General features: G+C 45.3%; 1 protein-coding gene and 1 pseudogene across 8 annotated transcripts in view, besides 1 other annotated feature; both read left to right on the forward strand.

The window, feature by feature from the left end:
* ZNF331 (zinc finger protein 331) overlaps positions 6,980-16,922 on the forward strand; it is a 77,035-nt gene continuing 67,092 nt past the window's right edge. For 3 of the 8 annotated variants that reach the window (XM_047439053.1, XM_047439051.1, XM_047439055.1), the window contains exons 1-2: positions 7,641-7,841; positions 15,708-16,792. The gene's annotated coding sequence lies outside the window, so the exon portion shown is untranslated. Of the gene's footprint in view, positions 7,842-15,707; positions 16,793-16,922 lie in introns of all 8 variants that reach the window. The other 5 variants (XM_047439049.1, XM_047439058.1, XM_047439059.1 and 2 more) reach the window with 5 other exon arrangements.
* Positions 7,137-8,028, forward strand: VN1R103P (vomeronasal 1 receptor 103 pseudogene; annotated as a pseudogene).
* Positions 8,688-8,913: a silencer, noted in NCBI's record as "fragment chr19:54008197-54008422 (GRCh37/hg19 assembly coordinates)". NCBI's record gives its function as "represses an EF-1alpha promoter that drives an FKBP-Casp9 reporter gene in an ReSE screen in phorbol 12-myristate 13-acetate-treated (for megakaryocytic differentiation) K562 erythroleukemia cells {active_cell/tissue: K562(+PMA)}" and the evidence as "EXISTENCE:reporter gene assay evidence [ECO:0000049][PMID:32094911]".

The raw sequence follows: 16,922 nt of genomic DNA on the forward strand, positions 1-16,922 counted from the left end.
TTGCATAGAGTACCTTAATTTCTGTTTTGCTTTTTTTTTTTTTTTTTTTTTTGAGATCAAGACTCCACTGGGTCAGCTGATCACACCTGTGGTCCTCGCACTTTGGGAGGCTGAGATGGGAGGATTGCTTGAGACCAGGAGTCTCCTGGGAATGTTCTCATCTCCCCTAACCCAATTCATGAGAGACCCTTGGACTTTACTGTTATGGAAAAATCTATATTAAGCAATATCAGTGTGTCAAAGCATTATGTCTGTCACAAGCTCGTGAAAGGAAAATAAAAATTACTAAGCCAAAGAGAAAAGTCAACCTGAGAACTGCATCAGACAAACCTGCCTCCCATTTTATTCCTAAATGAGATAGCCACAAAGACTAAAATAAAGCTACGTAGAGGCCATGCACGGTGGCTCATGCCTGTAATCCCAGCACTTTTGGAGGCCGAGGCGGGTGGATCACTTGAGGTTGGGACTTTGAGACTAGCCTGACGAACATGGAGATACCCTGTCTCTACTAAAAATACAAAAATTAGCGGGGTGCGGTGGTGCGCGCCTGTAATCCCAGCTACTTGAGAGGCTGAGGCAGGAGAATTGCTTGAACCCAGGAGGCAGAGGTTGCAGTGAGCCGAGATTGCGCCATTGCACTCCAGCCTGGGTGACAGAGTGAGACTCCCTCTCAAAAAAAAAAAACTTCCAGCAAACATCATATGTTATAATAATCCTTTGCCACAGAAGAGACTCAGGTATGATAAGTTCCTACGTGGAGAACAAAATATGAGTTTCTACTCGGTCCTCAGGTGCCTTCCCAGAGATGCCCCCACATTTTCCTACAGCAGTGGGGATGTAGGATGGACTGACCCTCCCCACCACACACACACACACACACACACACACACACACACACACACACACACCCTGGGGAAAAGCCCATATAAAGCAGTTCCCATTTCCCTCCACAAACTGCGGGCTCCCAGTGAAAACTACCTTAGACATTCTTGCAAATCCCATTCTTGTCTGGCCTTCTACGGGATGACAGGGGCCTAGAGAAGGCAGTACTGGGTGGAGTTACCTGGGTGCGCATTTGTCGGGATGTGGCATTTTATGGCTATTCTAAGGTCTGTTATCAGTTGTCTGTCTTGGGGAGAATGTGCAGTCGCCATGGTCCAATAATCCTCTATCCAAGGACCACACAGGTCACCGCAGGCGCTCAATCAGCGTGATCCACATGGTATGATGTGTGCTCTGGCAGGGCACAGACGGACACACTCAGCTCTGTCAATGTGTAAACAGGGAGTGTTGCAATGACATGGTTTATTCACAGTCACCATGGAATCTGATGTGGCATTTTAAAAAATGCGTAGATCTGTTGCAACTGGTATGAAAACATCACTTGTGGGGAAAAGAAAGAGAGATCAGACTGTTACTGTGTCTATGTAGAAAGAAGTAGACATAAGAGACTCCATTTTGTTCTGTACTAAGAGAAATTCTTCTGCCTTGAGATGCTGTGAATCTGTAACCCTAGCCCCAACCCTGTGCTGGCAGAGACGTGTGCTGTGTTGACTCAAGATTTAATGGATTTAGGGCTGTGCAGGATGTGCTTTGTTAAAAAGTGCTTGAAGGCAGTATGCTTGGTAAAAGTCATCACCATTCTCTAAACTCAAGTATCCAGGGACACAAACACTGCAGAAGGCCGCAGGGACCTCTGCCCAGAAAAGCCAGGTATTGTCCAAGGTTTCTCCCCATGTGATAGCCTGAGATATGGCCTCGTGGGAAGGGAAAGACCTGACCATCCCCCAGCCTGACACCCGTAAAGGGTCTGTGCTGAGGAGGATTAGTGAAAGAGGAAGGACTCTTTGCAGTTGAGATAAGAGGAAGGCATCTGTCTCCTGCTCCTCCTGGGAATAGACTGTCTTGGTGTAAAACCCAATTGTATATTATATTTACTGAGATAGGAGAAAACCGCCTTAGGGCTGGAGGTGAGACATGCTGGCAGCAATGCTGCTCTCTATTACACCGAGATGTTTGTGTGCGTACACATGAAGGCACAGCACCTTTCCTTAAACTTATTTATGACACAGAGACCTTTGCTCACATGTTTTCCTGCTGACCTTCTCCCCACTATTACCCTATTGTCCTGCCACATCCCCTCTCCCAGATGGTAGAGATAATGATCAATACTGAGGGAACTCAGAGACCAGTGCTGGCGGGTGCTCCATATGCTGAGCGCCGGTCCACTGGGCCCACTGTTCTTTCTCTATACTTTGTCTCCGTCTCTTATTTATTTTCTCAGTCTCTCGTCCCACCTGACAAGAAACACCCACAGGTGTGGAGGGGCAGGCCACCCCTTCATCACTGATTGGCCGGGCGCAGTGGCTCACGCCTGTAATCCCATCACTTTGGAAGATCGAGGAAGGCAGACCACCTGAAGTTGGGAGTTTGAGACCAGCCTGACCAACATGGTGAGACCCCATCTCTACTAAAAATACAATATCAGCTGGGCGTGGTTGCGCATGCTTGTAATCCCAGCTATTAGTGAGGCTGAGGCGGGAGAATCGCTCGAACCTGGGAGGCGGAGGTTGCGGTGAGCTGAGCTTGCGCCATTGCACTCCAGCTGGGCAACAAGAGTGAAACTCCATCTTAAAAAACAAAAAAACAAAAAAACAAAAAACCCCATCACTGATTGGTGAAAGCTATTGAATTAGAAATGTAACTCTGCAAATATATATTTAAATATTGAATAATGAATATCTGAATGGTGTGTATATACATATATATTTTGTATGTGATTTCAGATGCAATTTTAGATATTCTATGAAATTGATATTAGATATTCTATGATATAAATGGTTGCTTTTTATTTTAGTGTTTAAATGTTTTATCGTTACATTTGTTCAGATGTGTATTTTCTATTTATGAATTGCCACGGTTTAGCCAGCAGTTTACTACAGCACTCATTTATTTTCTCACAGTTCATAGATGAGAAATGTGTCAGGTTTTTCTGGGTACTCTGTCTGGTCTCACAAGGCCAAAATCAAAGTCAAAGCCATGGGTTCTATTCTAGAGACTGTGGGGGCAGAATTCACTTCTAAGCTCATTCAGATTGTTGTCAGAATTCATTTCTTTCTCCTGGTTCCCATATATTCAATATACAGCATGTGAAATCACTCTCGTGCTCCTGAGTCCTAACTTCCTCCACTATTGCATCTCTCTGACATATATTTCTTCTTTAAGGACACATAGGACCCACCCAGATAATCCAGGATAACTTTCTTTTATTTTTCTTTTCTTCTTCTTTTTTTTTTTTTTTTTTTTTGAGCCTGTCTTGCTCTGTCGACCAGGCTAGAGTGCTGTGGCAGGATCTCGGCTCACTGCTACATCCACCTCCAGGTTCGAGCGATTCTCGTGCCTCAGCCTCCAGAGTAGCTGGGATTACAGGCACTCCCCACCATGCCTGGCTAATTTTTGTATTTTTAGTAGAGATGGGGTTTCACCATGTCGGCCAGGCTGGTCTTGAGCTCCTGACCTCAAGTGATCCGCCTGCCTCGGCCTCCCAAAATGCTGGGATTACACACAGGTTTCTCTTTCAAAGTCAAATGAAGCTGGGCATGGTGGTGGGTGCCTATATCCCAGCTACTGAGGAGGCTGAGGTACGAGGAACGCTTGAACCTGAGAGGCGGAGGATGCAGTGAGCCGAGATCACGCCACTACACTCCAGCCTGGTCAATTGAGCGAAACTCAGTCTCAAAAAAAAAAAAAAAAAATTCAAATGACTGTTAGCCTTCATTAATCAGTAAATTACCAGCCAAACTTTTGGCAACATAACATAAACACAGGAGTAGCACCAGGAGTTGGAGACCTGGCTACAACATCATAGGACCAGTAAACTTTTTGGCACTGAGAAAATAATATGTCAATCTAGCTAGAAAATTATTATCATTTGGGATATTTCTGTTAAGAGAAACTGGTATACTATATATTACTAAACTATATTGGTGATACTGTATTTAACATAGTTATATAACTAAACATCAATATAATTATATAGTAATATGTATTTAAATATTGTTAAACAATGTTTCTATGAAATTTCTATATAATTTGGTATTCAGTTGTGCTCACAAGTCCATTTATTTATGTATTTATGTATTTATTTATTTATTTTCTGAGACCAAGTCTTGCTCTGTAGCCCAGGCTGGGCAGCAGTGTTGCGATCTTGGCTCACTGCAACCTCTGCCTCCCGGGTTCAAGCAATTCTCCTGTCTCAGCCTTCCAAGTAGCTGGGAATACAGTCGCATGCCACCACGCCCAACTAGTTTTGTATTTTTAGTAGAGACGGGATTTCAGCATCTTGGCCAGGCTGGTCTCAAACTCCTGAGCTCAGGTGATCCGCCTGCCTAGGCCTCCCAAAGTGCTAGCATTACAGGCGTCTGCCACCACACCCGGCCATATCTGGACTTCTTATATACCTCCTTCTACTGCGGACTCTACCTGTCAAACTGAAATAGAAAATACTCACCTGACCCACCCCTCTGTCTGGATGGTGAGCTCAGTGTGCTGGTCATGCCAGTCAGCATTATATGAGAGGGCAGCAGCCAGGCTGCTAGATATGGGCTTGTGATTCTGTGACCTCACCTGCTGTCACAACCGCAATGATCATTTTACCTGTCACAGCTGTGACAGTGCAGTCCTGGGAAGCTATTCTTTTTTAAAAACTTCATTTCCCTGTTGTAATTACCAAGAAAACGTTTACTAATTCCTAGATAGCATCTCCAAAGGGATTTTGGAGTGTCTGGGGAGATTCTTTCTTCTTGATCCCTGGAGGCAGAGAGGGTCTCACAAGAAGGAAGCAGGAAATACTGAGCTCTGGTACATCAGGGACTGAACGCACACCAGGTATGTCTCAGTGGATTCTCTGAATCCCTGAGAAGTCTTTCCACCCAAAGTAGATTTCCTTATAATATTTAGACCTTTGATCTTTTAAGTTATATGCAGATAAATGGAATCAGGCAAAGTACCTAAGAAGGATTTTGAGAGATAAAAAAAAAAAAGTAAAAGGAAGAACATGAAGCCATTAGTTCACATTAGAAATTTTGGAACTCACCACTCTGTCTTCCAGAAAATAGACCTAAAGACAGATATACCATTTGACCCAGCAATCCCATTACTGGATATATACCTAAAGGAATATAAATTGTTCTATTATAAAGACACATGCATGTGTATGTTCGTTGCAGCACTATTCACAATAGCAAACATGAAGTCAACCAAAATGCCCATCACTGGTGGACTGGGTAAAGAAAATGTGGTACCTATACACCATGGAATACTATGCAGCCACAAAAAAGAACGAGATCATGTCCTTTGCAGGGACACGGATGGAGCTGGAGGCCATTTTCCTTAGCAAAGTAACACAGGAACACAAACCCAAATGCCACGTTCTCATTTGTAAGTGGGAGGTAAATGATGAGAAGAGAGATGCATAGAGGGGAACAACACACACTAGGACCAATTGGAGGGTGCAGGGTGAAAGAAGGGAGAGGATCAGGGAATATGACTAATGGGTACTAGAATTAATACATGGGTGATTAAATGATCTATACAACAAACTCCCATGACACACGTTTACCTATGTAACCAACCTGCACATGTACCCCTGAATTTAAAAGTCTTTTAAAAATGAAGGAAATCTCACTTAATCTCCAAATCTACCATTTCAATTTATCAAATGCACAAGATCCCATGGCTTACAGATTTAATTTTCCATATATATTCTATATTAACACCTTTGACAAATCTCAACACTTACTATTTTAGTTAATTTATATACTCATTAATTTATGAGTATATGAACTGAAAAGAATGATAATTTCTACCCGACTCTATTTTATGATCCTTTAGTATGTCACATTACGTAGTTAGGACATGATATCAGATTGTCCATTAATTCCTGTGGTAGGTGCCATCGTACTTTCTTTCCTGGTGTAAAAAGAAGTAAGTCTCTGTGGCTATCCTGATATGGGGTCAATCTTTTTAAATCTAATTTAGTCGTGAGGCAGATTCCTATAATTTTATACTCCAATCAGTGTATCTACATTTTATCAAGGTCTTTAAAGATTTATTCATAATTGCTATCAGTCTATGGGCTAATATTTTATACATCAATGGAAACTGGTCAAAACCAAAATTATAAAATTAAATGTCACCTGCGTAAAATATAGAGACAAGGTATAAAATAGAAATTAAATATGTGGCCGGGCGCGGTGGCTCACGTCTGTAATCCCAGCACTTTGGGAGGCCGAGGCGGGCGGATCACGAGGTCAGGAGATCGAGACCATCCTGGATAACACGGTGAAACCCCGTCTCTACTAAAAATACAAAAAATTAGCCGGGCGAGGTGGCGGTCGCCTGTAGTCCCAGCTACGCGGGAGGCTGAGGCAGGAGAATGGCGTGAACCCGGGAGGCAGAGCTTGCAGTGAGCCGAGATCGCGCCACTGCACTCCAGCCTGGGCTACAGCGAGACTCCGCCTCAAAAAAAAAAAAAAAAAAAAAAAAAATTAAATATGTATGTTCATTATTGGAAGAACCCCGCTAACTGGCTTTGACAGTAGAGCATGGTGGTTAATGCACTCTGAAATCAGCCCAGACAAGATCAGTCCCTATTCTACTCCAAACACGGTGTGAATTTACACAAATCATGTCACCTCTCTGTGCTTGAGTCCTCTTTGTCTTTATAATGGTGGTACCTGGCTCATAGATTATGAAGAATATGGAGGTGAATACATGTCTGTTCTTCATAGCAAAGAGCAATTCATTGCAAATACACTTAAAATGGGACACATCCAAATATGGCAAACTCTTCATACTAGAAAGTAACTTTATTAAGTATTTCTATTGCATTTCAGCTGACTTTATTTTTTATTTTTATTTTTTATGTTTTGAGACAGGGTCTCACTTTGTCATCCAGCCTGGTGTGCAGTGGCGGGATCTCGGCTCGCTGCAGCCTCAATCTCCTGGGCTCAAGGGATCCTCCTACCTCAGCCCCCACCAAGTACCAGCTGCCTTTTAAATGTCGCTCATGCATCACGTTCCCTGCAGGATCCTGTGTCTCTGAAGATAAGTAGCAGCCTGTGGGAACTGACAGAATGGCTGCTGGGATGTGGCCATGGGAACGATCTTCTTATCGCAGACTGTACTTGGAATCCTGGGGATTTCTCTCTTATTTACCATTATCTGTCCTTTTACATCACTGGGTGCAGGTTAAGGTCCACAGATTTGATGATCAGACACCTAATTGTAGCCAACACCGTATTCCTCCTCCCTAGAGGAGTCCCACAGACAATGGCAGCTTTTGGGTTTAGGCATTTCCGGAGTGATTCTGGATGTAAATTTCTTTTTTGTGTCCACAGAGTTGTCAGGGGAGTGTCCATTGGCAGCACCTGCCTCCTGAGTGTCTCCCAGGCCATCACCATCAGCCCCAGGAGCTCAGGTGGGCAGAGCTTAAAGGGAACGCCCCCAAGCACGCTGGCTCCTGTGTGTTCCTCAGCTGGCTCCTCCCTGGTCAATATCATTGTTCTCATGCACGTGACCGGCAAGTGGAGCAACAAAAATACCACAAAGACAAAAGATCTGGGATACTGTTCTGCTGCTGATCACGAGGACACCAGAGAGTCGCTGACGCGGCACTGCTGTCCTTCCCTGATGTGATCTGCCTGGGGCTCATGCTCTGGGGCAGCAGCTCCATCGTTTGCATCCTGCACAGGCACAAGCGGCGGGTCCAGCACATTCATAGGACCAGCGTCTCCCCCACATCCTCCCCTGAGTCCGGAGCTACCAAAACCATCCTCCTGGTGAGCACGTTTGTGTCCTTTTACACTCTCTCTTCACCTTTCAAGTTTGTTTGGCTCTTTTGAATAATCCCAGTCAGCTGGTGGTGAACATCTCTGCAATGATCAGTGCAGGTTTCCCAGCTGTCAGCCCCTTTCTTCTCATGAGTGGGGACTCCTGTGTATCCAAGCTTTGCTTTGCTTAGATAAGTAACACAAAACCCCCTAATCTTATCAGAAATATGTGAATTGGACATGTTTGTACAATGTTTATGTTTCTTCATTGATCTCTAGAGACCCATAAACACGGTTATGAAACGAGGCTTGTTAGTGCTGTGCTTGCCAGCAGGGGCCACTGTTTTATTCTGTACCTCCTGATCCCCCCTCCACCCACACCGCCCTGGAGCAGCTCTGTGGAAAAAGTGGAATCAGCTTAGAGGTTTTCGGGAGGAAGACACTGAAACGTAAACGTTATAAGAAAGTGACGGTGCACAAACACACGTGCCTCATCTCTGTGTCCCTCGGAGTAGACGGGGGGAATGTGCGCAGATGCGAAGTTCTTGCTGTCATTTTCGTGATGAATAGTAAAATATATATTTTCTCAGATCCAGAAATCTCATGCCCTCAGTCAACATCCATAAACTGACAATCTTACTTGTTGGCTTGCAAGTAAGGTTAAAATTTAAAACCTTTTGCAATTTCTGATAGGTTTGGTGATGCTGGGACAGATGTGACTTTGTGTAAGAGGAAGGTAGAAAGGTTCTTCACCGGTGTGGTTAGCGGACAGAAAACGGCTTTCTGGAACAAGCAGCAAATTCTCTCACCCAAACTGGAGTGAAATGAGAGTAAAATTCCTCCACTCTCTAACCCTGGAATGGGGCTGTTGTGTGAGAGGGAGGATTGAAATGAACTGTCCGAATGTGATTTATTTGTTGCTCATTCTCCTCCTGGCAGGAGCAGGAAAGGACGAAGAGTCCCCGAAGCTGATGCTGAGTTCATGGGGTTGAGCTGACAGCGGCCAACAGGCTGTCATAAACTGTAAGCACACGAGGCTTGTTAGTGCTGTGCTTGCCAGGAGGGAGCAGTCTTTTTTTTCTGTACCTTCTGATCCCTCCCTCCACCCACACCGCACTACAGCAGGTCTGTGGAAAGAGTGGAATCAGCTTAGAGGTTTTTGGGAGGAAGACATTGAAACTCCGTTTTTTCATTTTGTTGTGTTTTTGTTTTTGTTTTTAGATGGAATCTCACTCTGTCCCCCAGGTTGGAGTGCAATGGTGCCATCTTGGCTCACTGCAACCTCCCCGCCCTGGGCTCCAGCCTCGTGCCATGTTTCCCAGGCTGGTCTCGAGCTCCTGGGCTCAAGTGATCTGCCCGCTTGTGCCTCCCAAAATGCTGGGATTACAGACGTGAGCCACCATACCTGGACTGAAACACTTTTAGTCCTGTTGCATGCAAGGATTTAAGTCACCAACGTACGTGGATTCCAGCAAGAAGGGTCAGTAGACGCAGGGGTGGGTAAAGGTGCTAAGGATGGTGGGGTGAAGTGTGGCTGCAAACAGGCAGAAAGAGACAAGCTTCTGGCCCTGAATAGTCACCAAATGCTGGATGGTGCAATGCTAAGAATGCAGCAGAGGCCGGGCGTGGTGGCTCACGCCTGTAATCCCAGCGCTTTGGAAGGCCAAGGTGGGTGGATCATGAGGTCAAGAGATCGAGACCATCCTGGCCAACATGGTGAAACCCCCTCTCTATTAAAAATACAAAAATTAGCTGGGCGTGGTGGTGGGCACCTGTAGTCCCAGCTACTCGGGTGGCTGGGGCAGGAGAATCACTTAAACATGGGAGGCGGAGGTCGCACTAGCCGAGATCGTGCCTCTGCACTCTGGCCTGGCGACAGAGCAAGACTCCATCTCAAAAAAAGAAAAAGAAAAGAAAAAAAGTGCAGCGCAGACCATGGTCTGAAAAGCTAAAAAAGAATCACACCGGCTGGGTGCAGTGGCTAGTGCCTGTAATCCCAGCACTTTGGGAGGCCGAGGCGGGTGGATCACGAGGTCAGGAGATCGAGACCATCCTGCCCAACATGGGGAAACCCTGTCTCTACTAAAAATACAAAAAATTAGCCGGGCGTGGTGGCGGGCGCCTGTAATCCCAGCTACTCGGGAGGCTGAGGCAGGAGAATGGCGTGAACCCGGGAGGCGGAGCTTGCAGTGAGCGGAGATCGCGCCACCGCACTCCAGCCTGGGCGACAGAGCGAGACTCCGTCTCAAAAAAAAAAAAAAAAAAGAAAAGAATCACACCTCCCCCATTGTCCTGGCCCCTACCACATACACACTCTCTCTCTCCTCTCTCTCTCTCTCTCTCTCTCTCTCTCTCTGTCTCTCTCTCTCTCTCTCTCTCTCTCTCTCTCTCTCTGTCTGTCTCTCTCTCTCTCTCTCTCTGTCTCTCTCTCTCTCTCACACACACTCCTATCCTAGCTTCCTCTGGTCTACTGGCCCTTCGCAGTCCCTTACCCATGCCATTGTATAGTGTATTATACTTATTAGTCTGTGATTACACGGAGAAAAAATACAAAACACAAAAACAAGAAACAAACTCAACAGACAGGGTTTAGGCAGGGTTCCCAGTGAGGGCGGAAAGAGGGTCTTTTGTGCTAATTCAATGTCCTGTTCGGTTTCTGCATCAGAATAGACAGTAGGAATTGATGTGTTGTGTGTTTTTGGGCTTCGTGTCCCTATGTACCAGAGGAAATTATTCCAGTCTGGGTTGGGTGCAGGTAGGGACGTGTGAGACTAACTCTCCTGCCATTTGCCACCCGTTGGGGGCGAGTCATTAGGATTCCTATGAGTGCCTCTAGCCTCTGATGTCCCAAATCCTCACTATGCAGATGATGTTGTGTGTCTCGGCAGGTGAGAGGAGTTGCTCTCAATCTTCCTGTGTGGGGTGTGATCCCCGCCCTGCCAGCAGAGGTAACTGACAGAACCCAAAGAAATGCAGCCTTCTGTTTTCCGGGGCAGGCTTATTGAAAGTATGTGAGCAGACTTACATTGCTCAATGATTTCAGTGGTCGACAAAAGTTGTAGATGACAAAATGATTTTGTCATCTGCAGCCTCTGGAAAAGGGAGGCAGCCTCCACCTAGAGGTGCCTGTGGGGTCCTAGTTGCCCTGACGCAATCCTGACACAATAATAGTCACGCTGATTTTGAACATTATCTGTTACTTTGCTGCTGAGCTCTCGTCATCACCAAATCCTGTCCCACAGACAGCTTGGGGCTCCCCACCTTGATATTCCAATTTTGAGATGGGTTAGTCCAAACTCTACAAAACCCCCCGAAAGCCTTGCTTATGACACAGAAATGGTGTATTCTGGGAGGAAAATGGACCGGCCCAGCAACATCTCAGCTCTAAAGGAAAAATCAAGATCTATCATCGGTGAAAATTTTATGCCCTTCTCCACGGTCTGAAGCAAAGCTATGGCATTATGGGGTCCCAAATTTACCATGTAACCCCTAAATGCCTGGTCCAGGTTCACTGATGGGTCAGGGAAGTAGATTCCTCACGGTGGCCACAGCAGAGGCTGTTCGGGCTCAGTGCCAGCCACGTGGAACCTGCAGCAGGGGCGTTTGTTCCGCTCAACGGTCAGACTTGGGGCCAGGTGTGGGGGCTCCAGCCTGTAATTCCAGCCTTTTGGGAGGCTGAGGTAGGCGGATGTCTTCAGGCCAGGAGTTCAAGACCAGCCTGGCCAACATAGGGAAATGCCATCTGTACTAAAAATACAAAAAATTAGCTGGACGTAGTGGCAGGCACCTGTGATCCCAGCTACTTCGGAGACTGAGGTGGGAGAATCGCTTGAACATGGAGGTTACAAAAAAAATCATCAAAACTCAGGGTTTTGGCCACTGCCCACATTCTAGCTGTTTGTTCATCCCCATTCAAACTAGAGACTGTCTGAGGAAGCATACCCTCTTTGAGGCTGCAAACTGGAAACAATCTCAGCTGCTGATCTAACAGTTGCATCCGTGATTTAGGAGTCCATGGTAAAGGACTGTTTTCTGAAGCACCTGACCAAAATCAAGCTCTGGACAGAGCCTGAATCTGTCTCATGCAGAGCTTGTCACTGCAGGCCGGGCTTGTGGTTCTTGGTGAAAGTTGATCTGTTTATCTGGCGGTTGGGGAGGCCCCTGACCATTCCTGGCAGAATGAGTGCATTGGACTTTTGACCCACTTCTGGAGGTTTCAATCATGTCACGCCAGCTGACTCCAGCCGCACCACGTGACCCTTGAAACTCATTCATGTCACCTTTTAGACTTTTGGGACCATTTTCACTCTGACATACTGAGTCTTTAATCACTAAATCTACTAAAAATGGGCCAACTGTCTGATTTTACTTCCTTGTTTCCCCTCTTGATCCATCAATGTTGTTTAGGGAATTTGTTGATTGAATGTGGCTGTCTCCAGAAGGAGACATCCTTTTGGATGTCTCTTCTTGACGTGATCTCTTCTTGACAGCCTCCAGGAATGATCTCTTCTTGACAGCCTCCAGGATCAGGATGAAATCACTGGGGGTTATGAATCTATTTCCAAAATATGAGATTTCTCTCTCTGACCATTCCAGGCACAATATGTCATTCTTTCTCTGAACAGGCCAGTCTACTTTGCCCACGATGAGTGGCAGCCCAGCTAAAAGCGAGTTATGGGACTCAAAGTTAGTTACAATTAAGTTTTATACAAAAATCTTTATCCCTGTTTCACCTTGCTCTTAGGGACAAAATGTCTTGGAGACAGTAGGGGATCATGAGAATAAAGATGAAATTATAGGTACCAGAATGGGACTGACTGATTCTGTGGAGGGAGAGGGAGAGTGACAACCTGAAACCTGGAGAGCAGTCAACTTAGGTCCTAGGAGCACTGAAGAATGGAGGGACATTCATCACCTTTTTTCCCTCATAATCACCTCCGTGAGTCCCAGAAAGAGTCTCCCTGGAAATGATGTTGGGCCAGGACTGTGTTAGTTTCAGTTAAGCCAGATGACAGGGCAGGTGCTGGGGGTTCCTGTGCGTTTGGTCTCCACGTCACCCAGAAGAATCCTTTGGGACTGTTCCCTCCCTCTGGGATTCTAGTGAGGAGTGTGCCCTTTCGGTACCCATCTGCCCTCCTTCCTCTGTGAGCTGCGTCTCCTCCTCCTGTTTTTCTTCCACGTAGAGATGAATGTATGTTTATTCCTATTTGGATAAACCAGAGAAACAAATCAAGTAATGGAACCCCAGACCCAGCCTCCAACATAGCCTGATTCTTTTCTGTTCCTCTTCCCACTGTACTAATTTCATCATGTCGGTGCAGAGATACCCTGAGGTGGGGTCTCTCAGAACAGATTGCAACACCATACGTGTAGAGAAGGTGGTTGGAGATGGCAGGAGTCCAATCCTGCCAATCCTGAGAATCAAAGCTTGTGTCTGATACTACAAGTGTATACACAGGAAGTAGATGGATCCAGGAAAGATCCTAGAGCCCAGGAAGAGATTATTTAGAGCAGGCAGGATCCCTGCAGGAGAGCAGAGTAGCAGGACACAGGTTCAGCAGCCACTTCCGAGGTCAGATTCTCACAGCTAAGCCTCTGTGGTAGGGCTGATCTGCAGAGCAATGCAGAGCCTGGGAAAGCTCTGATCACATGTGGAAGATGAAACTCTGGGCTTCTATTAGTCTGTTTTCCCCTAGCTACAAAGAACTACCTGAGCGGGTAATTTATACAGAAAAGAGACTTAACTGAATCACAGTTCCACATGGATGGGGAGGCCTCAGGAAACTTACAGTCATGGCAGAAGGGGAAGCAAGGTATGTCTTACCATTGTGAAAAGGAGAGACAGAGAGAGTGAAGAAAAGCACACACTTCTAAGCCATCAGATCTCGTGAGAACGCACTATCAGCAGAACAGCAAGGGGGAAATCCGCCCCCATGATACAATCACCTGCCACCAGGCCTGCCCCTGGCACGTGGGGATTACAATTAGACATGAGATTTGGGTGGGGACACAGAGTAAACCATGTTAGAGCTCATGGAGAAGTGTCCTATGTGATGGAACATCCTGCTTCTGTGGGCGTGACAGTCTTTGCTCTTTCTTGGCAGAGAAACACTTACAATAGTCACTTGAGGACCATGTATAGATAGGCTTTCTTTCTTCTGAGTTTCTTGAAAAAGGATTCAGAGGAAACATTTTACCCACTTTCAGTTCGAGTGATGGTGGGGAGTGACTTCAGTAAAAATGGCAGATTAGGGAACTCGGGGTAGGAGTGGGAGCTGTCCATCCCCAGAAATCTCAGAAGGCCCAGCACAACCTGCCAGAATTAACCTGATCGAAACTTGAACTTTTTTTTTTTTTTTTTTGCCATGTAGCTTTATTTTAAATCAGACCTTTATCTTACTATGTGTTGTAAAGAATCGATTTTGTCACTTTGTAATGTGTCTTATGCACTGCAGTCTATTTCTGAGTTGTGAGCTCCACCCATCTATCAGTCTGCCCATCAACCAACATGTCTTACAAGACTAGCTACCCTCATTTCGTTCTTTTTCAGAGTTTTCTTGATTATTCTTATTTGTGTTTTCACCTATGAGATTCTTGCAATAACATCCATAACTCCCAACTGAATGTATCTATATTTGAACCAAATTAAATTTATAAATTAGCTTATGAGCAATTGATTTTTATAATATTGATTTTTTTTACCCAAGTCCATGCTGTAACTTCTTATGTGTACATTTGTATATTTCAGAAATTTTCTATTTAATTCTTATATACATTTAACATATTTGTTAAAATTATTCCTAAGTATATTTTATTTTATTGTTATTTTGTAATTGCATCCCCACCCCAAATCTAACTTGTAAATTATTATCTCATATATATGTAAATACCTGCTGCGTGTAATTTAAGGCCATGTCATGGGTTCAAACTGATTCCTAACATCAACCATTCAATTTTCCCCATTCACTGGAATGACTACTATTCCATATCCACAACAAGAGCTGTTGGGTTGAGGGAAATCAGGGTGGAGATGAAGCAAAAGTGAAGAGAAAACATTATCTAACCCACGCATGCAGCAAAACAACCTCCCTATGGATCAATATGTAATTATCTAAAGTATAAAATACTTAGAAAATATTAATATTTATCTCATACTATACAATATGGAAATTATAAGGAAAAGACAAAAGAATACCCAATTACTTATATATTCCCTACATAAAAATATATACATTTATATGGTAAAAGATTGCATTATCGCAGTGTAAAATGAAAATAGGAAAACATATAACAATATGTAAAACAAGTGACAATATGTATGTTAGATTTAATATCCTATAGTAAAACAGGGTAAATTAAAACTATAAAATAGAAGAAAATTTAAATCCAAGTAAATCATATGAGCCAAAAACTAAATAAACTAAATAAATATAATCAATAAGCATTTAATACATCTTGACTCAGTTTAGATATAAAAGAAAGAAAAATCAAACAATAACATGGTGGTTTTGCCATGATGTCATCAAGCGTAAAAAGATAACCTTTCTCAATAGAGATGCGTCTCAGGTTTGTGGGTCTGAGTCCCTCATGGACTGCAGGTGAGAGAGTGAAGAGACACAGCCTTTTCTCAATTAAAGTAGAAGGATATAAATATATATATTTATTTTTGCTATACTTTATAATATACAAACACATATGGATGATTACACCCTAATATTTGCTGTGATTCTACAGAAATGCATGACTCTCAGGAGACATCCAAAAGACAGCAAATATCTCACACGAAACTGAATAGTGAACTTCATCCTCAATGAACCACAGAGTTCACCATTCTGAGTATATCGTTCAAGTTATTTTCCTATTTTCCTTCCGCAGGTTCTAGCATGTATTAACACCGTGTGTCTAAAGTCATCCCTGCTGGTCATCTGGAGGAATCTGAGAAGGGGCAGGTCTTTCTTCTGACTCTCAGAGCAGCACCCTCTGCTGGACAGGGCTGGGCACCTCATCTCAAGCCCAATCTGATCCACCAACAGGGTCTGTTATCTCCGGTCCGGGGAAGAGGTGGGCCTCTCTCCATCCTGGGAGGAGCGCTGAGCTTCTCCTTCATCCAGGGATGGGCCCCAGGGACGCGCCAGTGGGACTGGGAGAAGCCACCCTCAGCAGGGAAGACAGAGATGCCTGCGTGGCCGAGGCCTGGAAGGTCTGCACCATGGTGCACAGAGGCCCCGGAGCTGGGTGAGGCCAGAAAGCTGCTCTGGGGTCAGCGGGGAATGTGCCTGCTGAATCTGCAAGCACCTGAGCTACGTCTTCACAAATGGCCTCAGACCTAGAGTGCAGGGAGATCCCCTGGCTTTTCTGAAGTGGTGGCAGGTGGTCTCCTGGGTAGCAGGATCTGGGCTGCTTACTTCCCTTACCCAGTGAGGGCCCGCGGGGAGCTCTTAAGTTGGGCATCATGGGTCTGCGTGATGTGGCTGCTGTGCCCACATCAGAGGGTTTTTGTTTCTTTTCCAAAGTCAAGCTGCACTAATCTAGACCAGGGATCCCCACCCCTGGGCTGCGGACCGGTCCCCATGGGTGGCCTGTTAGGAACTGGACCGCACATCAGGAGGTGAGCAGTGGGTGAGGGCGCATGACCACCTGAGCTCTGCCTCCTGTGAGATCAGCAGCGCCACTGCATCTCAGAGGAGTGCCAACCCTACTGTGAACTGTGCATGCGAAGGATCTGGGTTGCATGCTCTTTATGAGATCAAACTAATGCCTGATGATCTCAGGTGGAACAGTTTAATCCTGAAACCATCCCCCCGTCTGTGGAAAAACTGCCTTCCACCAAACCAGTCCCTGGTGCCAAAAACGCTGGGAACCGCTAATCTAGACAGTTCTCTGCTAAGGAAGCACATGGTTGAGAAGCATCAGAATCGTTCCCACGGACCATGCTCCGGAGTCTCAGCAGGCTCCTGCAGGTGAGCCCCACTGGCCTCTCCTCTTCCTTCTGGACCTCCTCAGCTTTGGTAATGGAAAGCTGCATCCTCTTCTGTCCCCAGTTCCTCTCTGGGTGTCAGGATCTCTAAAACCCTCTCAGCCGCTGAGAAA

This window comes from Homo sapiens, chromosome 19 (genome assembly GCF_000001405.40).
Source record: "Homo sapiens chromosome 19, GRCh38.p14 Primary Assembly".
In the NCBI taxonomy this organism is placed as follows: Eukaryota; Metazoa; Chordata; class Mammalia; order Primates; family Hominidae; genus Homo; species Homo sapiens.